This window comes from Homo sapiens, chromosome 12 (genome assembly GCF_000001405.40).
Source record: "Homo sapiens chromosome 12, GRCh38.p14 Primary Assembly".
NCBI classification, from domain to species: domain Eukaryota; kingdom Metazoa; phylum Chordata; class Mammalia; order Primates; family Hominidae; genus Homo; species Homo sapiens.
Window position 1 is genome coordinate 91038567 of NC_000012.12, and position 26326 is coordinate 91064892.

Here is a 26326-nt window from a genome sequence, read left to right on the forward strand (position 1 = left end):
AGTAATTTATCCTTTCCAGTCTCTATAGAGAAATGGGAAATAGAAACTGGGATTTGGGAATGGATTTTAGTGTAGCTAATCGATGATTTTTACTATAGCATCTGTTATTAATCACACTTAACTAATGAAAGCATTATAGTCTAGATATGTTATAAGGAGTCTGAAATCAGACAAGAAGTGAGTCCGTGCTGTGACTGACAAATATAATCTATTATTTACTTGTCAACAATTATAGGATGTGAGAACACATTCCCTGTGGCTAAAATAAACTAGAAATAGAAGTGGGTCAAATTTCTTTTGTCTTATTTGATTCTACAATTTATTTTCTCTACTTTGAAGACTGAGAATTAACATCTTTGATTTCTTATTTATAATAATTTTACTGGCTTATTTACATAGTTAAAGTTTCTATTACTATTTACTATTCATGGGCAACATGAATTAGATCCATGTATACTTACAAAGTTATCTATACACTTTCCAGTTTACTTTTGGTGATTAAAAACAGCATTTTTTTCTTTAAATTTATTTTTCGTTTTAATCTCAGCTATAAACTCAATGACTATACTACCCTCTTAGACAAGGGCCGAACTGATTACAGGAAACTTATTCTACTAGGACCTAAGACTCTGGTAGGAGTTCTAGTTTCTGATTTTTTTAAATGTCATATAGGCATAGCATAATATTTTTGACAAATTATCTTCTGCTCACTTTAGACTAATTGTTTTCTTTGCCCTTTCTGTCATCTTGATGATTTTTGTAGCCACTGTATTACATAGCTTTTCACACTCCCTTTGACAAAGTATATGGCTCAATAAATGCTTATTAAAAGAATTGTGAGTAGAGGCTGACTTTCTACTTAGAGAAAAAGAATACCGGTCTCTGAATATTTATTTCTTTTCAAATATACTATTAGATGTCACCCTATCAGAAATTAGTATCACCACCACCACCACAAAAACAGGGGGGAAAAATAGAATTTTAAAAAGGAACAATTCAGAGAATTTTTTTTTTTTGAGATGGGGTCTCGCTGTGTTGCCCAGGCTGGAGTGCAGTGGTGCGGTCTTTGCTCACTGCAAGCTCCGCCTCCTGGGTTCACACCATTCTCCTGCCTCAGACTCCCAAGTAGCTGGGACTACTGGCGCCCGCCACCACACCTGGCTAATTTTTTTGTTTTTAATAGTAGAGACGGGGATTCACCGTGTTAGCCAGGATGGTCTCGATCTCCTGACCTCGTTATCCGCCCGCCTCGGCCTCCCGAAGTGCTGGGATTACAGGCGTGAACCACCGCGCCTGGCCCAGAGAAGTTATTTTTTAAAGAGTTTTATGTGCTTGGAATAAATACAATTTTGATAAATGACATTGTGTAATATGTACCATCTGGAATCAAAATACTTGCCATTTAATAAAATAGATACAGAATGAATATTAGGGCATTTTTACAATATGATTGTAGAATAAGTATTCTTCTGATTTTAACAAATCATACATTAAAACAAATTTTGTTTGCCAACTTTTTTTGGAGGTACATAAAATATGAGAAATTAAATGTAAAACTAATTTTTCTTGTGAAATTTTCCTTTAGAGTTGCCAATAATGGAGACCATACAATTCTTTCCAGATTTGCATTGGTTTGATTTTGTTGTATATGTGTGTATGTGTATGTGCATGCATGTGTGTGCAGTAAAATATGCAAAATGGGCTATCATTTTGGAACATTCATTCTCATTTACCACTGTGCACAATTTAAATTTAGTAAAATTACAACATACTTTTGGCATGAAGTCCCTGAACTAATTATATGGTATTTAATTGCAAAGCTGATTGGTATATATTTACATGGCATCTGTAAAGATCATTTCAAATGACTGTGAGCTTATTATATTTTCTTGTGAACATGTTCAAATTCATAACTCTGTTTGAGAAGGAAAACCTTGAATATTAATTCATTGCCCTCAGGCCCCTTAGTCACAGCTGTTTCTTTTATAAACACAGAAGCTTTGATGTGGCAATTCTCATTTTATTCTGTTGAGATCTTTCACCAAACATTTGGAATTATTCCTTAGGGCCAAAATATTCTGTCAGATAACTTAGAAATTATTGAAATATCTTGATCGTTAGTGCTGAAAATTTACACTGATCATTCTTTTAAAAGTTTGTTTGCCTAGATTGTGAGGGTAAAAAGCTTCAATTTTCATAAGCAATGGATTGGTTTTACTCACTTTATTAATTAGTTTTATTTCTATCAGAAATTATGTATGCCTATATTTAAAGTTTGACATATTTTGAAGGATTGATAACTGAGGTTGAATCTAGACATGACTGATGTGTTTTCCTTTTTCTGGGATGTCTTGCCTTTAACCTTTTGAAAAAAACAAAACGATTGTATCAATCTTCAAACTACACCAACTTAATGTTGTCTGTCCTGTAAGCACTAAAACTTCTAGCATGAATTCTTGTGTATAGTAGTAATAATTGATCTGCCAAAATATGGGTAATACACACATGTAATCTAATTTTGTGTACCTTTGTTAGTTACTCAAAATGTTTAAATTAGTAAGTAAAGGAAACACTACATTTTCGGATGCTGTCTTAGTCCTTCTGAGCTGTTCTAACAATACTTGAGAGTGGGTAATTTACAAAGAACAGAAACTCATTTCTCACAGTTCTGGAGGCTGGGAGTCCAAGATTAAGGTATCAGCCGCTGAAGGCCTGGTCTTTCCACTTCCAAGATGGCTTCTTGTTGCTGCATTCTCCAGAGGAGGGAATGTTGTGTCCTCACATGTTGAAAGTCAGAAGAGCAAGAGATCAAACACTGCTTGATGTTCCTTTTATAAGAATCTTAATACCAATCACAAAGGAGGAGCACTCATGGCTTAATCACCTCATAAAGGTCTTTAGAGTGGGTCCAGTTTGACTCTTGTGCTTACAAGCGGAGGAAATTTGAATATGCTGAGAACCCCCAGGGAAGTGCACATACAGAAAAAAGACGCTATGAGACACAAAGAAAGACAACCATTTGCAATCCAAGGAGGGAGGACTCAGGAGAAATCGAACTGGATCCTAAATTGTCTAGATCCTAATTTCTAGATCCTAAATTTTCAGAACTGTGAAAAAAATACATTTCTATTATTTAAGTCACCAAATCTGTGATTTTGTTATGGCCGCCCTAGAAAGCTAACACACCTACCATGTTAAAAAAATCTATGAATTCTAGTGTTTTGAGAAGAAAGAAGCACATTAAACAATACATTTGGAAAGCAGTTGTTTGGAGTTCCACAGATTTGAAGGAAAACTGGAAAGCAACTCAAAGTAGTTTCAATATTTAACTGAAACAAAAAATCTCACAATTAGAGGAAAGAGGAATCCTACTACTATTAGGCATTAGAGAGTGAAAGTATAGGGAAAGGAGGTGTGGGGGTGGTTGTTGGGTTATCAGTGGGACATTTGAGCAAAGTTTCTTATGTAGACCAAGTGGAGAAATAAGACATTTCTAAAAGCATAAAAATAATATTCACTGAAAGGTACTTACCTCTCAAAAGTGAAATTAATATCTACCTCTACATATGCAAGTCCAAATGTAGTCAGAATTCATTTAGGTTTAGTTAGCTCAGTTAAGCGACCCATGGTACCATACATAATCGCTTTCCCTTCTGTCTGTAGCTCTCTTTTGATGCTTTACTCCATGCACCTTTACCTTTAACTCCCTATTTTTAACACTTTCACAAACACTTCTCCTTCCTTTTCCCAGGACTCATGAAGATATTTCAAGTGGGAGGTATCAAACACCTGCATGGCATTAAGTCTTTAATCAAGGTAATAAAAAACAGAGAAGATGCTGTCTAAACATATTTGCCTCATATTCCTCCTAGAATCTCACCGAAGTCATTGTGCAGAATTTTTATAAGGAATAAATCCATTACTGCAAAGAGAATTGAAGGGGAGGTCAACGGTGGAAGACAGATTTCAACATCTCTTTGGATGATAATGGAAACAAGGTGGAAATGTGTTAATTCGTTAATTAGAGAGGACAAGGCTGCAGTTTAATGTCTGCTCAGGAATGAACACAGAAAAGGGATTCAATCTCCTATTGGAACCCAGGAGAAAAAAAACAATATTTAGATACTCATACTGTGACTGTCCTTTTTTTAATCTTTCACATTTTAGAATCAATTTATAGGAAATGTATTGCAAACCTCATTGATGCTTTAGTACAGTATAAGTTTGAACAACTTTGACCACGAATATAAAGGTATATCTGACAAAAGATGATGTCAAAGTAGACAGGATGGTTAGAAAATTACCTCCTCTCACAAAGAGAACAATTGAGATGGACTTGTAGAGTTGTTGCAACTGGAAATAGAAGTATGAGAGTTTTTTTTCCTCCCAAAGTTTATTAACTAAGTTAAGAAATTCAAGTATTAACACAGCTATCAAAATATAGAAAGAAAGAAGGAAATAGATAAGTATACGTGTGCTCAATGATCTTCCATAACAGAATCAACACAGGTTGCTTAAAGCTGCCAAATCAAGAAAGATAAAAACATATTATTAGCAGTATGTAGATAACTTCACAAAAACAGTAAATACTAAGAACTGTTATTTCTAGGGAGTAGGACTGGGATAGAAAAGGTAGGGCAGTAAATTACTGTTCTCACTAGAAGCTTAGCTATTGGACTTTTACAAAGCTCACGCATCATTTAGAGACAAATTTAACCTTAAATTGGAAATGCTGTACTAATTTCATAGCATTAGGTTTTCATAATTTATCAATTCCTGTCACTAAAAAGATATGCAAAATATGAATGAATTATTCATGATAGACTGTTATGATGTAATGACATATACTACAAAATTCAGTGGCTTAATACCCCCCCTCCAACAAAAGTTAATTTCTCTCATGTGGTACACGTTCTTGTATCAGTCAGCAGAGCAGGTCTGCCTTATGTAATCTCTCAGGCAGCCAGACTAATAGAATGGCAGACCTTCTGCCATCTGTCACCTGAAACGTGCAGACTTTCCCTCTCTCCACAACAGTGGAAAGGAAAAGAGAGTTGCACCTGAGCAATGCAATTCTTTGACCCGGAAGTAATATCTGTCACTTCCAGTTACTGCACAGTGACCAGAAATATTCTTATGGTTTCTTTGTTTTCTTTCATGAAGATGAGAAAGTTTAATTCCACGATGTGTCCTGAAAGAGAGAAATATGGTCTGAGTAAACACTGGACAGCTTCATTAAAATAAAGAAATTTGCATTTAAAGATTTTAGGTAAGTACAGTATTGTGATCAGTATTTGGAAACCTGTACAAACCACTAGTATATTATAAGGGAAAATAACTAATACATTATCAAGTCTTTTTCTCTCTATATATATTTTTTGCCAAACTTTTATGATAAAACTTTTGAGACAACAAACTTGAAAGAATTTTACAATGAATACCTATATACCAAGCACCTAGACTCTAATATTAGCATTTGACTATTCTAACTCTGTCACATATTGTTCCAGGTATATGGCCATCTAAAATCTCTTCAGTGCATCTTTGTTTAAGAAATTCAAATGTTAATAATACCAATAATATTAATGATAATAATCTTGTTCATCAGCACCTAGTATATTTAGGCATCTTAACTACACTATTACTCTAAGAGGACTCTCAGGCAAAGCATATTATTCTTTGCCTACTGTAATTAAAGAACCAATGTTGCAAGTGTTTAATTAACTTGCTCAGTTCCTTTAGCAGATAGAGAATTCAAACTCATTTGTATCAGAGTCAACAGTCTCTATGCTCTTCGAAATATACCTCGCCATCCTTGCTTTTTGATACGCTGGTGTACTAAGTAACTCAAAACATTTTGTCTCTTTCCTCTTAGCTATATAAAGACCTTGTACATGATCTTACTATGCAGAAGTAGCTTATCTTGTGTAGAAATCTTGTTTGTTCCATGTCTGTTTCCATTTCTCTGAAGGCAGAGTCTCTACCTTTGAACCTGAATCATGTACTTGGTTTATACTCCCATTAACCAACAGCTTTTTTTATGTCATTTTTAATGTAAGTGAGAGGCCAGAAAATTGAATATATGGCAGAACTCTTGCCCTATTGGAAACAAATCCTGGCACCATAATATAAACAATGGATAGCTTTTCAGATGACTTTTGCAAAACACAGTTCTGCTAGTCATTTTACGGTTCTGATCTTTTTCCAGGACAACTTTAACTTGTCTTAAGAAAGCGTTAAGAACTCAAGACAATGAATCTTTTTCTACACTTGAATTTTGTTTGCTCAGCTGAATGTCACAAAGAAAGTAATATTTTTGAGAGTTATAAAAACAAATACAAAGATAATAATTCTGTGATTTGCCAAATCATGTTATATTTGCTTCACAGTTTTTTCTACAATGTGCTCATATATTATTTGCTTTCTTTTCCCAGTATAGAAATATTCTCGGCAAAATGTCCTGAGATCTGTCACAGCTGCATAAAGAACATAAATTCTTTAGAATTTTTGGTAAATATGACATTTCACTGTTTTGCTAAGCCATAAATCACCTTCGTTATAGGCAGTGCTGCAGATGTTGTGCAAACTTTCATTCAATGAGACAAATAATTTTTAAACAAGTGTTTTAATAATTTCTATGTATTTATATGTATTATCCTATAATAATCCTTTAACTTTTTTTCAGTTATAATGACATATTTTATCATTAGAATTAGTATAACATAGTGGTCAAAAACAGGGCCTCTGAAGCCAGACTGCTTAGGTATGAATCCTGTATCTGCCTTTCAGCAGCTATGTGACACTGAACAAGACATTCAAACTATTTGTTTTCAACAGTTCAAAATTTTCATCATTTTGTGCTCTCTTCTTTCCTGGGTTCTAAAGTAAATAATGATCACTTGCATCAGAGATTCCTACCAAATCCGAGTTCCTTGATCTTTTGACTTCGTGACTTACTTCCTCTTAATTTTGGGAGTCCCATCCTATGACCACACCCAGAATCTTTTCATCTCTCAACATTGAGCCTGTTAAGATATCTTCAGCTGTAGGCTCCCAGGCTCAGGTTACTCTTTTTCTTCCAGCTTATATATGCCCTAATGCCTCTCATACCCGTACTTCAACCTACTGAGCCTTCAGTATTTTTCTCCCAATTGTCTGTCGCCTCCTGATCTCATTATTTTTTTCACTATCCAACTTCAACTTCATAGTTCACTAGCCCCATTCTATCACCCTCAACTTCACTTGTCTGTTTACCCATGCATTGCATAAAAATTTAAAACCTTTGACATGGATGAGTTCACCATTTATTTTTCTCAGTTTTTTATTCATAAAATGGTCTGATCTGGTGGAGAAAGTCTATGCAATTGTGTGTATCAGAGTCCCTCCTAATAAAAAAATTCCAACCTATCATTTATTGGGTATTTTCTATGTGTCAGATGATGAAAAGTTTTACATCTATTCTCTCTTAATTCTCACAGCAACTGTGTAAGATAGATGATATTGTTCTTTATTTTACAGATGAGGATGCAATTCTTAGAAATGTTAAGACATTTACCAAAGATCAAAGAGTTAGTAACAGCACAGGGTGGATTTGAAACTTCATCTTTTCCCTCCATAGCACAAGTTCTTAGCCACTGTACATGTAATTACCAATATATGTAGGTTGAAATGTACAATTTTACAACGTGCTTTCTACTTGTTTTTTTTAACTTTCTGTTCTTCCCTTCTTTTGGATTCCGTAAATAACTTTTCACTCTTTTTTTTTCCATTGTATTAGTTTGACAGTTATACGTTCTCTACCTATATGCTCTGGTTAACTTTGAACAAAAAAATGCATCCATCCTTTATGACATATAACCTAACTGTAACCAATAAACTTTACACTCCTCCTAGGCAATGCACCATTCTTAGAGCACTGTAAATTTTAAGTATCTTTATCTACCCATCAATCTATCAAATACCCATATTATGATAAGAAATATTAGTGCATGTATGTGTATATGTTTGTGTGTTTGTGCATATATATATACACACACATATATATACACATACACATGCACACAATAATAATAAATAACACTTAGTAGTTACCATGTGTGTATATATATATACACAGAGAGAGAGAGAGAGATTAATGTCTTGGCCCTTGGCTTCCAGATATAGAGCTTCTAAAACTCTTGTAGATGGGGGCAATAGGATAATCTTTTGTTCTAATATTTGGTTTTTGATCCCAGTTATTGACACAGCTCTTAAGATCTCTGTAATTTTCTGAATGATAGGAACACCTGATACAGAACTCCTAAATCCTTTGATATATCCTGGGTGATTGAAGCATCTTTTGTTCTAATGAGGCAACTCCTTGATAGCCTCTGGATGGAGGCTAGTTGCCCAGGAAACAACTGGCTTGCAAGGGTTTAAACTTTCATCTGCCATGACCGTCGGTGAGGAAAGAGAGGCTTAAGGTTGAGTTGACCACTAATGGCCAGTGATGCAATCAATTATGCCAACATAATGAAGCCTCCATAAAAACTCTTAAGCACGCAGTCCCAGAGCTTCCAGTTTGCTGAGCACCTGGAGGTGTCATGAGGCTCCATGCCCCTTTTTGTATACTTACCCTATGCATTTCTTCCATCTGGCTATTCATCTGTATCCTTTGTAATATCTTTTATAATAAATCTATAAATGTAAGTAAAGTGTTTCACTTAGTCTGTGAGCTACCTTAGCAAATTAATCAAACCTGATGAGGGGCTTGCGGAAACTCCAATTTATAGCTGGTTAGTTGGACATGTAGGTGAAAATCTACTATTTGCCTTTGACGTCTGAAGTTGGAGCCTGGGGCAGTTTTGTGGGACTAAACTCTTAACCTGTGAGACCTGACACTGTCTCCAGGTAGGTAGTTCCAGAATTGAATTGAATTATGGAATACCCAGCTTCTGTCTGCCAGAGAATTAGTTTTTGGTGGGTGGGGAGAAATTCCCTCACATTTTGGTGACCAGAGGTGTAGTGTTCTGTTGAATGTGTCAGAGTAGGAAAAACACATTTCTTCCCACTTCTTAAACACACACACACACACATTTTTACACTCAATTATTTTGATGATTTGCTGAATTCTTTGACACAAGTCTTATCAAATATGTCATCTGGAATTTTTTTCCTCCATACCATTTGTCCTATCTAGGTTTTTTAAGGGTATTTGGAGGAGTTAAATAAGATAATTCTGTTGCAATATTTTTAACCACCAAAAATCTATCTTAATTTTTTAAAACATCATTTGCAAATAAATTGCTCAGTCTATCCTTGTATATTTCTTTTCTTTGATTTGTGCCCTTTTTTCTTGCTTATGAATTAAGTTTATGATATTTACGTGGAAAGATTATAGATAATATTATTTTGTTTTGTTTTGTATTGTATTTTAAGTAGGTCCATTAAATGATGGATTGAACATTTATAAGAGCCATAATTTACAAAATGGCTTGAACTTATCTCCTAGTTATTACTCCTGAGTTTTAAGAATGATAGTCACATTGTACGTAACATCAAGAAAGAGAACAGTATATCATTTGAAAGCTTCAGGGAACCTATAGTAGCTTTGTACATATGTCAAAAAATTGTATGAAGAAAGTGATTCCATTACTCTTAGCTTCACATGTCAATACTCCGAATGATGTCTGTATTCTCCTAATCTGTCCCCTGTCTCTGACCAGTCTTACCTCATGGGAGTATGAATGTTTAAGTGCAAAATTCTTCCAAATTATTGAATAGATTAACAAAGTCTAGAAAATTATACCACATGTTTATATATTCATCCAGACCTCTTTCAATAACTTATATGACATCTTCTTCTGGATCAATCATAGTTTGAACTTGTTCAAACTATGTGTAAAAACAAACTCATAATTCTTTCTAAATGTATCTCTATTAGAAAATATACTGCCGTCTATTCTGTCATGCAAGCCAGAAACTTTAATACCCTCGTTCCTCTCACTCCCCTTTATACAATCTGCCACCAAGTCTTGACAATTTTACCTTCTAATACTTTCATATTTGTCCACTTACCTCTAATTCCACCACAACCTTATAATCCAAACTTCCTTTTTTTTTTTTTCTAGCTAGTACTGTAAGACTGAAGTTCTAACCAATCTCTGAACATTTACTTTTGGTTCCCTGCAAACTGTTTTATTCACAGTGCCAAGGAGAAACATACACATGCACACAGTAATAATAATAAATAACACTTACTTAGTATTTACCATGGGTCAGGTGCTCTTCAAGGGACTTTACATATTTCAACTCATTTAATCCTCACGGTATGGTAGATGCCATTACCTGTCTCCATTTTACAGATAAGAGAACACTGAGGCATACATAATTTAAAGGTTCTGCCCAGGATATGAAGCCAGTAAGTGGCAAAGCTGGGATTTGAACTCAGCAACTTTAGCTTCAATGTTAGTGTTCTTTACCACTGCATGATGTTACTCTACAATGAAAATAATCCCTTATGATTTAAAACTCTTCAGTGACTTTCAAATTATTCCTAAGGACTAGAATCTTTAAATTCGGCGTGGAATATTCTTCCCTTCTACCTTGTGCTGCTAAGTACTTTTAGTCTTTTATATGTTTCCTTAATCATTATTTCTTTAGGGAATCCTTCTCTCAAATCACTATTATTAATTCCTTCGCAGCATGCAGCTGTCTGTTAATATTTATCACATATGAAATTGTACATATTTTTTGTGATTTTCAGTTAATTTGTGTCTCACTGTAGAATAAACCATAAACAATATTATTTCATCTGTGTGTAATACAGTCATATATATGGTACTCAAGAAATATTTAAAGAAGGAGGGAAGGTAGAAAATTCTTAGAGTTGAAAAGTTCTTGGAGAAACATACCATGACAATGTTATTTCCACATAGGACTCCATTTTATACTCTGCCTCTTGAATTACCACTTATTCACTGTTTGAAGTCCAGAGGTGGGTAACTCTACCTCAAGAAAAGTTACTTCCATTGCTGGGTGACTTGGAACAATATCAGAAAATTCTTTCTTAACTAGAGCCAAAATATGACTTCTTATCAATTTTAACCATATGTTCTACTCTTCATTTTGGGGCTTCCTGGCATATGTTTTGTGCCCTTTTCAAATGGCATGTTTTCAAATATTTAAAGTTATGTTCCCCTTCACATATTTTTTCTCAGTCTAATGATATCTGATTACTTCTATTTTTATGACATAATTTTTATAATTTTATTTATGTGCTTTGAGGTCATTTAAAACACTTTTCTTTTTGTTAATGTCAATTGATTTGATTTATTACTTTCAGCCAGCATTTTAAAAACTATGTTCAAAGTTTGTTGATCGGTTCTCCTTTCTCAATCTCAAATAAGTTTTGGTGTAAAAATAAGTAGTAAGTTTTGTATAAGGTTATAGTAAGGATTGGTTCTTCTTCACCCTCAAATAAATTTGGTGTAAAAACGTAGTTGCACATTATATTATTTTCTTGGAAATTTACATTATAAAATAGCATATTACGTTTCTGAGAGGCTTTGAAGTAAACAATTGGACATTTTTAACCTAGTGTTTTACAAATATATATAATCATTTTTCTGTGGAAATATGCCAGATTTGTAGGATTTTAAAGAATACTGTTGGGAAAATGTATATAAAGGCATCCATTGATCTTTATGGAATACAGATTGCTTATAACATATGTTTGTAAAGTCATAAGGCTAATGTAAAGTACACGGTACTTTGTTACTTAATGAAATTCTGTTTTTCTTAATTCACAAAAATCAGAAATATGTCAAGTGATTAGAATAAAAACTTTTTTATGTTTTCTGGAAGAAAAGGAAAATGAAGGTAGGAGTAAACATATTTGAATATATTTATGCCAGAAAAATGAAAATAATTTTTACTATAACACATTTTTATTAAAACATGTTCTTTAATGAAGCTTGCTAATTTCTTTGAAATATTCTGTTTTGTTAGAAAGCATTCAATATTTTTATTTAGAAAATCCAAAAAACACAATCAAATATAAAGAACAATTTGCAGTTTAAGTGGATTTCAAATGTTAAAACACTAAGATTCCACAAGAAATGCATTATAATAAACATAAAATTTAGAACTTATAAGAATGCAGTGGACTATATCTAAAAACAACAGCTACAAGAAATGGTAATGAACTAGAAGTGACTGCTGTTTCATTATTTGATATTAAATAACAAGAATTCTTTAGTGATGAAGTATTTGATTCATTCCATACCCATTCTCAAGCTAAATATCAAACTTGTACCACCAACAGCTACTTAGCAATCTGCAATTGTTTTATTATGATTACAATTAAGAAATATTTTATTTTCTCATTTTCTTCAGGTCGTTATCCTCCTGTTTGATTATTACATTTATACTGTAAATTACGGTATCTGCATAAGTAATTTTAAACATACACAAATGTGTCCTTTTTATTGTATAAGAATGTAATTGTTTTCTTTAGTGTTAATAAGCTATGGAAGAGACCAAAATAAAACTATCTTTGAGTTGATAAACTATCTTAACTCTGTGTCTGTTTTATTAATTAAAAGAAAAGCAAATTAATGCAGGCTGTGATGCATGTAACTGGCAAAAGCATCTTTGAATAGAAAAAATACACTGCACAAATGAAAATGGTGGCCGAGAGCAATGGGGAATATGACTTGTGTCCTAAACCTATTAATGGTAACCACATTTCATGTCAGAAACAGCTCATTAAACTAATTTTAGATTTGGTGAGAATGTGTTTAAATAATGACAGCCTGCAGAAGTCTGAAGCAGGTCATTAAAGCCATTGGAATTGGTGGTTTGATTTCATTTCCATCCAGACGGAGGTAGCGAAGATGAGGTCCATAACTGAAGGAATCTCGTTCTGCAGGCAGCATGGATGGGCTGGGACATATTACAGAGACATTCACACCTACAGTGACAAAGAGAATAGATGAATGAATTGGAACACAAGAGAAACTAACAGTGGGAAGACCAAAAAACTAATGCCATGGTCCTATGGAGGGCTTAGTGGCCTAATATATGAAAATAGTGGTTATACAAAACATTTGTGTCAGTGAGAAATTGTGCCTATCTGTTTCCCCCAAACAAAAGTTCAGCAAACTTAACAGTCATCTCAGTCCATGTTCTGCTACTTAGTATAGAGCACTAGTAAGGAAATACTGTTAAGATCTGTGATAGAAACAAATGTGTATAAGACGTCACTTGTTTTCTAAATTTGCAGGTAAGATAAAGCACATTTAGATTGCTGTAGGTAGGATTTAGGGCATCAGAGGTGGAGACAACAGTTCAGATTTGGGACTGAAAGAATGGGTAAGTACAAGAGTAGATGGATGGATGGATGGATGGATCCTGGATGGGTAAGTAGAAAATCAATCTAATATAAAAGAAAATGCTTGAAAATTACCTTAAAAGATGCAAAATAGTGTGCATAACATGATTTTAAAAGTACAATTAACATAACTTTACATAAGCAATACAGAAAACAATCTTGAATCTTCATCTTCAAATTTATTTAATTGGAAACTAAAATTTTGCTAAGAATTGAATGACAAAGAACTCAAGCCAGAAAATATCCCAGCAGCCTTTTCATATGGTTAGGATGGGAGTAATTGTGCACCTGCCTTGGATCAAAGCCCTTGGCACCAATGACTATGCTGAGATTTAGGAACATACAGGAGAGAAGGCCAGTTAAACTAGCAAAATTCAGGGTACTCTGTAACAGCTGATTTCAACCATGAATCCATATATTACCTTTAAATTCCTTTTCAAAACCATTCCAAACAAGAGATCTTCCCTGATTAGACCCACTGAACTTGGGCAATGCCCCTCCTCTGTGGCCTATTGTTTTATATAGATTCATATTGTAGTGAATAATTTTATGTTTCCAGCAAGGTTGCTTTGCTTTGAATTTATGCCATTTTGTAAACTGAATTTAATAAAAATAATGACTCATTTGAATAGCAGTTTAGTTGTTATAAAATCAGGTTCTCTTTTTTTACATACATCCAAGTATCACCTGATCATCTCACAGGCTTTATCAGCCAATATTATTATTCTACATACCTGGGCATTTTGTGGGAATTCTGGTTCAGAGAAATAAGGAAATGCACACAACTTATTTCAGAAAGTAAGTGGCAGAGCTGAGACCTGGCCGATTCTTTCTAATTCTACAATGTGTCTCTTGCCCAAAAGAATATGTCCCTTTCGATGTGCAATCCCCTTATCCTCATCAAGCTCATGTCCCATAATCAATGTATGTCTGAATAAATGAATATAAAAAAGAAGTATTCTAAATTTAATTACATTTTCATAAATTACAGTGTTTCTCAGGGAACACCAGAAAGTAATGTAGTTGAGTAAATAACATTTTTACCTAATCTTAAATCCCTGAAAGTTTTCAGAAAAATAAATATTTCCATCATATTGCTTAAGACAAGTTCACTGTCTCATAAATTTTGATGTCTTTTCATAGAGGAGATATGTTTCTTAGAGACCACTTTGTTACAACTAGAGTAGATGATGTGGCTAGAAGAAGCAAGTACTTAAACAGTTTTGACACAGTGTGATATTATTATATCAATATTCTCTCCAGGGAAACTCTTATATTTATTTTCTTAAATATTGAAATGACAAAATTTGATATCTACATTAAAAAGTAAATAACTAGATTTCTCTTTGTTGCTTTTCTACTGATAGAATTTTTTAAAAATTTGTATTCATGACAATGAAGGAAAGTATTGTTATTATACTGTATGAGTGAAAAAAACACTTCAGACTCAGGTTCTGGCTATTGCATTTACCCTTTGTCCTTGGGCAAATATCCTCCCCTAGCTGATCTTCAGTTTCTCTCTTTCAGAAATTCCTAATAATATCACACAAGTTTCTCGCAAGGATTAAATAGTAGTTCTCAAATCGTGAGCCAGCAACATCAATACTATTAATACCTGGGGAGTAAACTGTGAGGCCCAACCTCTGACCCAGCAAGTCAGAAATTCTGGGGGTAGGAAACAGCAACCTGGGTTTATAAGATCTCCAGGTGATTCTGATGCACACTCAGATTTGAGAACGATAGAAAATTAGAAACCTATGAGAAAACACTTTGATAAAACTCTAAAATGTGGGTCTATACTACACACATAATACTCCATAAGCTAAAGTCTTATACTTCTCAACTGTGTTTTAAATACTGCTGCCTCACTCCTAAACACCCTAATTCACAAATGCTCAGGATGAAATGCATAATTTGTAAGCAAGGGCTCTATGTGGAGTCACTTGAAGTTTACTTCCCACATCAATTGTCCGTGGGGCTTTTAAGGAATGTACCTGTAATATACCTGTAGAAGCACAGAACACTCGTCAGGAAAAATTATGTATTTAGGTCAATATTGTTGTTGTTCTATTTGATTCAGCTAAACAGATTCATCTCTTAACATTTTTTTTCTGTTGCATCTTTTGTTTTTGACTACAGGATTAAACAATACATTTCATCACCATGGAAAAATAACCGCTATGATGGCAGGCTGCCATTTAATTCCTGGATTGTAGACTCAAGTACACTGTTATTTAACTCCCCCCACCAAAAAAACAAAAATTCTTAAATAACTGAGCAGTTCCCAGTGGAAAAATAGTCTGTTCCTATAAATGATATGTTTATGTGATTATTTGCTTAAAAAGCTTTAGTGAGTAATACCCAGGCAGCACAACCTTTTGACAAATTATCTTTGTTATTCTCTTACAAACTATCCTGACTGAATATTACTTTTGGAATGCATTTTCTTAGGTTGTCCTGGAGAAATCTCCCCAGAGTTATTTTTAAAGGGTCTACTCTGAGTTTGAAGATGCATAGATAAATGCCAGGCTAGGTATCGTACCCCTGTGGCTGGACCTATTTTTACACCAAGTCCAGCCTAGTCTCATGCATAATTGTGAAGAAGCCAAGTTTGTCTCTAATGTGTCCAACATCTGCTTTCTATAATCACTTCTTCTCTTGATGATGCCTCTGCCTCCAAAAACTTTGAATTCATCTCTCACTCCCTTATGAAAAGCTCTTTTCAGGAAAGGAGAGAGTATTCTACCTGACGATTGCCTGTAAGTCCCAAGGAGTTGCCAGCTACCAGGGAAATTTCTTTCCATTTTAATTAATAAAGCCTTAAACTATAGTAGTGGTTCTCAATGTGTAGTTCCCAGAACATCAACTGGACGGCTGTTAGAGATGAAAATTCTCAAGTCTCACTCCACATCTACTGAATCAGAAATTCTGGGGGTGGAGTCACCAGCCTTTACACACTTGTTTGAGACTCCCACTGTAATTAGCGGAGTTTAATTAGAGACTCCAATTAGGAGGGTTTCAGGCATCAGCTGTCATATAGTGTTTAGGACAAAGATGCCTTCCTAATGCCTCTTAAATCATATTTTCTTTATTACTAGTCATGAGGTTGTTTGTGCCTGGTATGGTTTCTTAAATAAGCCTACCCAATGGGGCAGAAATATTGGAATCTCCTGGAGTAAAAGAAGATAGAGGCATTCAGTTTCTCTAATGGATAATAGTCCTCTGTAGATGACTCAAGTCCACTTTTTAGTCTTCAGTTTGAAGATTTGGACTTCTTGGTTCATTAAGACTGTCTGCGTATAGACAAAATTTAATACTGAAAATTGAAAACACACTAAAAATCTAAAGGAACATTAGCGGGGGAGGGGGCAACACATTTGCTCTTCTTAATGAAAATAAAGATACATTTAATGACCATGAGCCCTTTAGTCAAAGACATACTCTGCAGGTTACTTACTTTTAATTTTGTTATGATCAAGGTGAAGGTGCTGCAGATGAGCACTGATTCGGGGAACCTTTGTGAGTTGATTGTGCGACAGTTGAAGATCTAGAATTGATGATACATCAAATCCTCTTGATGGGAGACCCTCATCTGACAGTTTGTTGTGATTTAGTCTCAAAAAGGCCACTTTAGGAATCACATTAAAATAATTTTCTGGTATTCCTTCAATGGAATTGTTGTCTAAAAACAACTGCATTGTATTGGCTGGTAATCTTGGAGGCATATTCCTCAGGGCATTCTTGGCCATGTTTAGCTGCATGAGATTCTTGAGTCCTTTAAAAGTGTCTCTTTGAAAGGCATTGTCCACTAATTTGTTGTTCTGTAGGTCAAGAAGGGTCAGGTTCTCCAGATTGCTAAAGGTCCCTTGAGGAATTCTGGACACCTTATTTCTAGCTAATTGTAATTGTTCTAAACTTCTTGGCAATGGAGAAGGTACCTCCTCTAGCTCATTATCTTCCAGAAATAAGAAGAGCAACTTCTTCAGCTGGCTTAGGGCTCCTTTTTCAATTCCGTAGTTGGTTATTTTGTTCTTGTTTAGATTTATCCATCTTAGCTGGGTGGCATTCTCAAATGGCTTTTCAGGAATGGTTTCTATCAGGTTGTTTTGAAGATAAAGATACCAAATTCTTGAAGGAATAGCAGGAATTTCTTTGAGACCTCTATTTTCACAATATAAAGCAGTAGGAAAACTGGGTGGGCAGAAACATTCCATGGGACACTCGAAGTCATGAATAGTCCAATCATCTGAATCATGTACTTCATAGACCTGCCTCACACTTCTAGACCACACAGTGTCTGTTATGAATAACACCCACATGATGAAACAGATTGTGCCTGCCATTATAGCACCTACAGAAAAAGGAACACAACTGTTAGATATTTGAAGATCTTGACCTTTAGATAATTTTATACATCAAAATGATCAGTAAACATTGCTTCTTCAGGGAAGAGGTGAAAATATGTCAACATTTCATACACAGATCTTAATTAATATACATTAGTTAGTAGGCACCATATGCAAAGCATTTTGCAAACATTGAGAATAATTCACCGACTTGTAGCTTTCTGGTTGTAACCCAAACACAATAAAAGCCGAGAAATGGAAAGAAAATTTTAGCAGCTCTAAGTGTTTTTCCATTTCAAGCTATTTAATTTAAAGAACTGAACTGAAACCAGTAGTTGAATATGAGAGTACAAAAAAGTGATCTTTTAAAAACTCAAACTGGGAATCTGTGTTGTTCCTGAGAGGAAAGCATATGCTTTTACTTTTACTCTTAAATGAGCAGAACATCTGGATGAGATTTCCTAGGCCTTTTGGCCCTTGAACCAAAGGAATGAAGGGATCAAAGAACATTTTAGCACTTTATGGTGAAGGAAGGTTCTAGGATCTGAATAAAAATGTAATTAATCTGTTATTCTCTAGCTCAACCTCTCAAGTAAGTTTTTTGAGGGTGGGGGAAGATGTCTATAATTTTAAGCACACAATTAAGTTGTTCAGCCAAGCTATTGAATTATCAATTCTCTCTCTCTCTCCCTTTCTCTCTCTCTCTCTCTCTCAGAGAATATGTATATTCTGTCTCTATATATGTATATATATGTATATATAGAGATAGAGTTTATTATATAGAGTTGAATACATTGTGATGTATAGCACAAGTACATGAGTATTGTATTCAACTATGCCATTATTATGGTTGATAAGAAACAAAAACAACCAAAAACATATTTAGGATACGGGTGGAGAATTTCTTTATATTCATATTATCAGTGTGGATAATGGAAAGTAGGTTAGCGTTTACTAATATTTGATACATTTAAAACACATAAACCCTCCCCACTGATCATCAAAGATTATTGGTACAAATAATTATTTTAACAGGAAATATACATATATATTTTAATAATTTATAGCATACATATGTTACATATATATTTATATATATATATATATATCAGTAACATTCTGACCAATGTACATTTATTGAACTGATTGATAATAGGATGAAATAAATTTTACTGATTCCTTAGGAAAAGATAAAGTCAACTTCATTTATGAAATGCTGATCATTCAATTTTGCCATTAAATTGCAGAAAACAAGTGCAGAACTGCTTCTGCAAGCTGTCAAATTTTCTAGGATTGCAGAACGCTGCTCTGGCCATGTTCCAACAAAGAAACATCATTTTTTTTTTTCTTTTTCAGAATAGGGTTTTGGTTTAGTTATTGAAGTTGTAACCCTGCGTCTGTTGAATAAGTACTTTGCATGCTTAACTTTAAGAGTTTTTAAAAGTGCAAAATAGTTTACCTTGCCTTCCAGGAATACACCGTTGAGTCCTGTGTCTCAGTCTGAGGTTTGCTAAAAATCAGTTAAGAGAAAAAAAAAAACTTTGACGAAAATAATTTGTTTTTACTTTAAGCTGTCAAGTCGTCTATGAGAAACAGTGAAACCTACTCGTCCCAGTCACCATGAACACCTTTGATCTATTGTTTCCACTTTGACAGGGCTTCAGAAGACTGCTTACCTCAGCCTTCTTGGATCTTCTTCTTCCTTTTCTATTGGTCACTGCTTGTACATGGTAATGGATTGACCCAGGCTCCACTGTCGTGTTTTTATGAATCCTCGGTAAAATATATGCACTAGTAGATCCAAATTTAACCCCTCCAACAACCACGGAATCTTAGTGCCTACACAGCCCAGCAAAGGAAATTCTTACTTTAATCCTAATAACTCATAAAAAAATTTCTAGGCAATTTTCATTCCTAATTCACAGTTCAATTCATTAGTATATGTTGTCATGTACTGATATCCAGACCTTATTTACCAATAGGCAGCTGAAGGCAGTTTTAAAGTATAACAAAAAGATATTTTAAAAGATTTTAAAACATTTTCCCTAGATGATCATTTCTTAAAAATTGAATACAAATAATTAAAAGCCAATGTCTTCTGTTTATATGGACATATTTTATCTGTTCCTGATATAAAATAGATGCTGTAATGTGTTTGACTAAGGGAAAAATAAATAAATATATGTATTTGAAAAAATGTAAATGTGATATCTGGAAAGCACTACCTGATTTTGGTGCTAATCTTGGTATTATGCTTTTTTTCAGAGAAATAATTTTTGTATCCCTATTTCCTATTATATTTCTTTTAACAATTTATTCCAAGTACCTGCTAAGGTGGGATAATTTTTTATTCATTATAATATAACACATGTTTTGCATATAGTCCCTTATGAGACATTCTGTTACACTGCTACTTTTTTCTTTAACACATATCTAAAGTAGTGTGTCCTCCACTTCTGATACTTGATGAAAAAAAATTATGCTTCTTGAGAAAAGATGCAAACAAAAAATATTTCATTTAGGTGTTATTATGTGGATTGATTGTTGTTTTGTTTTTCAAAATCTCTCTTATTCTAGCTTCAGTGAATGTTATATGACTCATTTAACAGCTCACATGAGTATTGTCAAAGAGCACCGTGAAGAGGATTAAGCATTGGATTCAGAGGACCTTTTGTGAACCACCTCTTTCCTCTCTCCTAACCATAGGAGGGTAAATTAAAGTTCAGTTTTGTCATCTACAAAATAGTAATGGATTGCTTCACAGAGTTAGGTCTAGTTTGTTATAAACAATTACAGAAATAATAGCCTTATTTGGAATTAGCCCTACACTCTCAACTGGAAAATGCATTTATATTAAAGGGTTTTTATAGATTGAGATCCTATTTTGACATGATTTTTTACTAGTCCTATAGGTATGTAGGTGTACTCACATCACATTTTAAGAAGACAACCAAGTGTTACTTGCTTTCTCACAACAATTGTCTCCTCTCTCTGTTGCATTTCTCCCTCTCCTTTTCCTAAACCCTCAGGATTTAAACAACAGATGATCTTCAAATCTGCATGGCCCTCTTCCAGCTATTGTCTTACTGTTGATTTTTTTAGCCAAACTGATTTTAGTCTTTTTATAATTTTCTTATACAAATGTTGCTACATGTTCATTGTAGGAAAATTAGAGTAGTATACTGGCTGCCTCCAATCTATTTCCTCTTCACCATTCCACTCATGATCTGCCAACCAAAATATGACTTCTAATTCTGCTTCCCTAAAATGGTTCTGACAGAAAATCAGCAATGATCCTCACATTTACTAATCTGTTGAAGTCTTTTAGTGTTAAGCATACTTGGCCTTTGACAATACTGACCCACCCCCTTTTATTAAATGTTCGTCTTAGTTGTTCTGACATTACTCTTTCCTAGTTTTTCCTCCCATTTTCTGGTGACTTCTCTCTGTCTATATCCCAAAGCTCTATTTCCTCTTTATAACATTATTTAAGAGCATTTCTAGCATTTGGAACCCTTTGAGATTCTGTCCTCTGCTTTGTGCTCTTCTTGCTCTATACACATTTCCTGCATGATTCTATGGTTCCAACCATCTCCTCCATCATGGTAACTCCTGAGTCTGTATCTGCAACCCAGCTTCTAGAAGACCTGCTTTCCAATGTGTGTGTATATCTGCTTTCTAGACATCTCCTGTTGCATGTCTCAAGGGCATATATGTAAAACGAAATTCTCTGTCTCCTTTTACTTCTAACTGCTCCTGTCATTTTATACTTTTGAGACTTTTGTCACATTCAGTCTCCCAAACCACAAATCTGGAAATCATTCTTAACTCTTCTCTCTCATTCTGTGCGCATATGATAATAATCACATTTTAAGGACTTTGGGAGACATGACACAAATAAAAATGATCATCTACAATGCTTGCCGAGTTTTAATATCATTGTTTCCAGACTAAAAACATAGAATTGTTTCCACTGTCAGGGTAATCACTATCTGTGTCTCGATTTTTCCTGTAACATTCTAATCTACTTTTCTTCGATTATTGATTCTTGAAGAGTGGGTACTTTAACTCTTCTCTGGAACTGTTTAAGTTGAATAAATTTCAGAAGTTAGTAAGAATGTCTGAGTCATATGAACTGATATAAAAATTAATAAAAGACTCTGACTAGTCCTATCTGATATTTCAAAAAGGTAGAAAGGAATCCTAAAGTTTAATAAGGTGGCTATGGCACAATCTATCTAGTGACAATTTGATATTTTAAATGTCTATGAGGCTTTGCACATAGCAAGTAGTCAACACATGTTTACTGAAGGAATAAATGAGCAAATAAACATATAAGGCACTTGTATCACTTTTATAGCCATGAGTTTTTGATCAGCATAATTGTGTAAGTAGGAACATAATGGAAAGCCTTAGATTTTGATATTTTAAAAATGTGAGTTTGAATTTTCCTTTGGCAACTTAGTAGTTGCTTGGCCTTGCATAGGCCATTTAACTATCATGAGCCTAAGTCTCCCGATAATGTATTTTCCCTGAGAAGTGCTCGAGGTCATCTTAAGATCAAATGAGATAATGAAGGTGAACATGTTGGATAAGTATAGACAATTTTCATAGTGAAAAATTCAAAGTTCAAGGGGATCTTACAAATCATTTCTGCAAACTTTGCTTTCACATATGAGGAAATGATGCCAGAAATTTATTTCAGAAGAGAATGTGATAGTCGATAATTTTGCCTTCCAGACATAAATCCTTTCAGAAATTTGATAGGAAATAAAGCTGTTGTTGTTGTATTTTTTGTAACTTCCCTCCTTTTTTTTTTTAGCATTTTTTGTTTTAAATTTACTTATATTGCTTCTACTTCTTCCTACTAAAAAGGAAGATACTTTGCTAAACTGTCTTTCACTAAGGAATTTAGCTTGTCACATTCTTGAAGACTATTGACATTTAGAAAAGAAGACAATGCATGAGTGGATAAAAGACATGAAATTTCAAATTTGCTGGCACTTGTATCTGACACATCTGTTTTCAGCGATGGTTGGATGGACTCCTTAGGTGCTCCTGGGAGCTTTGTTTATTTAGAATTGATTGAACTTTTGCTAAGAAAAAGAATTTTCTCTTAATAAATCAATTTCAGCTTTGTTTGACTAAACTTTGTTATATAATTTTTTAAATATAAAAGGAATCCACTAAAATATATATCTAACACACATATACACACACATATATATAAAATCTTAAAATGTCAAAGTAAGACATTTAAAATAGTGTAATGATAATTTAAAAAGTCAAGACTACCACAAAACTCATAATGAAGGTAATAATTACCAACCCCACCCATTTCAGTGTAAGCCCTGCTCCCAAGAGGCCATTATTTTTAACTTTATTCGAAAGCTTTTTTTTAGTATTTGCTTTAATATTCCAGCTTATGTTATTTTTTAATTTGTCAATTTAACCTTTTTAATTAAGTTAACATTTAACATGCTTGCTCAGTCCCATATATGCATATCACAAGCTTTTATTAAATGAATATTTAGTGCATACTTTTTTATACAATATAAACATTGTCTACTACTAAAACATTGCAAAAGTACTATAGATTCTTTATTGTAGCACATTTATTTGCTTTCTCTCTGTATATGTAACTGTACATAATACATTACATATACAAATATTTCATTCATATTTTCCAAAATCTCAAACAGAATTGTAAAATCATTTGAAAAAATTGTTTCCACTCAGTGAATAGAGGCAAATGGCATGGTGCTTAAAGCCACACCTGCTTGGGTTTGAATACATCTCTGCTATTTAGTGGCTGTGAGATCTTAGACAATTATATTTCTAGTTTTCTCTGCCTTAGTCTCCTCATCTTTAAATTAACAATAATAATAACAATGATACTAATATGTACCTCATAAAGTTGTGGTGAAGATTAAATGAGTCAATATTTTGAAACGACTTAGAACATTTTACAATTGTTGATTAAAAAAAACAGACATATTAGATTCATTTTTTTCTCCTGGGAGATAGTATTTCTCCTGAGATGTCATAACTTCCTACTTCAAGGCAATTTCCTTGCTGTTAGAAAGCAACCTAAGCTAATTTGGTAGATCACAGTTATTAGGTTCTTTATGTGACATTTCAGTTGCCTTATAGTTATCAAAGGCTATAAGAATCCTCTCTTACAACGTACGTGGAGGTGTTTTGATAAAAGTAAGTGCAACTCAATTGTATCTAATATAGTAGACATTTACTTGCAGCAGGCATTAAAAGAATTCATGTAGTAGGTCTTCATTATAAGTTTTCTTCCAATGTTAAGTAAGCTTCCCTAAGGTATAAATTAAAATTAACACAAAAATAAATCACACTGTTTCTCTTGAATTACTGCCTTTTAAAGTGAATGTATGGATATTATAAACCTCGCTTTCTGGGTCTGTCAGCGACGGTTATGGTCCTGGACTTCCCTTCACCCAGCTTCTCTGTCGGATTCCTTGTTGCTTCCACCATCTTGTGTTTTCTTGGTTAACACCACAATATTGGCAGAGTCTATCCTCTAATCGCTTCACTTCCTGTTACCTGGGATATGTTTTTGCCTTTTTTTTTTTTTTTTTTAAATTCACGTTTTAAAATGTGTTTATTCAGCCTACCCTCCTACCTGGTATTTTAACTAAATAGAATTTTAATTTAAAATAGTGTTCCTTCAAAAGTTTGACGATATTCGAAGAAGCAATTGTCTTGGAACTTTTCGAGTTGAGACTGAAAACGTTGATAAAATGATGGCCTGAGTCTTCAGAATGTGACCCCTTTCCCTCTCTGAAAACCCTTAGGATTTTTTTTTCAATCTTCACTTTCTGTAATTTTATAATAGTGTGTTTTGAAAGGGTGTATTTTACTCACTCATGGGGCATTCAAAAATTCTTCCAACCTGGAAGTTCATGTTCATATAGTCTATCAATTTTTTTATATTCTCTTTTTTTAAGGCTTAAAATAAATCTGATTAGATTGTCTAATTCTATCTAGTCTTTTCTAATTCCCTTCTCAAAATTGTTTATGATTTCTGACAGATTTCATCTTCTGGTTTTTAAAATTTTCTATATCGTATACATTTACTCTTAGTATACATCAACTTGTTCTCTGATCTTTTTTACTAAAGCATTCTTTTGTTTCATGTAATTACTATCTCTATTATCTCACTTAGGATTTTAACTAAAGAGTTTTGCTGGCAGTGCGAGGTTTTTGTCTTCTTGCAATAATTTTGTTTTCTTTGACTTTTTTCTTGGTTTTACTTAACCTCCAGAGATATTTTATATTAGAGTCTTTCCTCATATGTCTGTTAGTGCTTTGCTGAACATAGATTCATATTTAAAAAGAAAGTCCTTATTAAAATATCTGTGAGAATTGATAGCACCAATCAGCTTTACTCTAGAATGAGTAGGTATGGACTTTGCTATTTTATTGGGGCAAACCAATCCCCAACTCAATATCTATATGTCTTTTTCTTTGTGACTATTCAGTTTCTCCAGAAAAATGTTCTTCTCTCTCTCTACATGCATACACACACAGACACACACAAAATGTATATACATGCTTATTTACATACACACATATATTATGCAATTGTACACACATATATGCATGTGGGGGTCTGCATATACTGAATATAAGTTGACAAAGAAATGTCAATATTTTGCCTTTCACTGCACTTTGTATCACTATGATTTTTTATTAATACTGGTAATAAGAAATTTTTCTGTCATTATGAATAAATAGTAAATAACCTTCTGTTTACAGCTTACTCTTTGTGTCTAAACCATCCTGAGGCTATGCTGATTCCAAAACTAATATTAAACTAGTTATAAACTCTGCCACTTCTAAGCTAGTTATATTTTGATTCAACTGGCATATTTATAACTCTTTTGTGCCAGTTGCTCCAGGACTCCACAGGAAGGCTTTCACTAGCTAATTAAACAATAAAAATAAATACAGCCTTGTGATTTTGGGGAGAGCTCTGTTACCAGCTACCCAGATCACTCTTATCTAGAATCATTTTCTTCCTGCTTCTCAAATTCTCTCCATTTCTACCAAGTTAGCCTTAGAACCATTGGCCTTCAGGAGATATTACCACAGGAGGCTAGCAGCTTAGACGCCAATCAGTTTACAGCTCATCTCCAAAACACTTCAGATGAGCTCTCATACAAGACACAATGTCTTCAGAATGCTGAAAAAAAATACTGTTAGATTCATAATATCTCCAATAATGTTGAGATTTCACTGAATCCCAAATGTATTCTTGTATATCCTTATCCTTGTTATCCTTAACATCTTAACATCTTACAAAACTGCCCTTCCAGGCCATCCAAAATCAGAGCTATATTTTTGCAATCAGTTCCTGCGTATTATATCTTGTCAACTATCATCAGATGGTATTTATACTCTTTCAAGTTATAGAGAAAACCTCTATGAGGTCATAAGTGTGATTTACCAGAAAGGCAGCAGTGCCATAGGACTAGAATCCGTTTGGTCTCATTTCCATTTATATCATGTACTTGCTGAATCAGCACTGCTGGGCAATTCAGATTAGGCTAGATAGACCAGACAATACTGAGTTTAT

General features: G+C 33.8%; 1 protein-coding gene across 1 annotated transcript, besides 1 other annotated feature; it reads right to left on the reverse strand.

The window, feature by feature from the left end:
* Positions 2571-3111: an enhancer, noted in NCBI's record as "OCT4-NANOG hESC enhancer chr12:91434914-91435454 (GRCh37/hg19 assembly coordinates)". NCBI's record gives its function as "activates a minimal SCP1, AML or CMV promoter by ChIP-STARR-seq in primed H9 embryonic stem cells {active_cell/tissue: H9 hESC(primed)}" and the evidence as "EXISTENCE:reporter gene assay evidence [ECO:0000049][PMID:30033119]".
* Positions 11925-19458, reverse strand: KERA (keratocan). Its single transcript, NM_007035.4, has 3 exons — positions 19178-19458; positions 16830-17723; positions 11925-12952 (listed from the first exon to the last, which is right to left on the reverse strand). Exons 2-3 carry the CDS (start codon positions 17713-17715, stop codon positions 12780-12782), a joined length of 1059 nt encoding a protein of 352 aa, NP_008966.1. The 5' UTR covers positions 17716-17723; positions 19178-19458; the 3' UTR covers positions 11925-12779.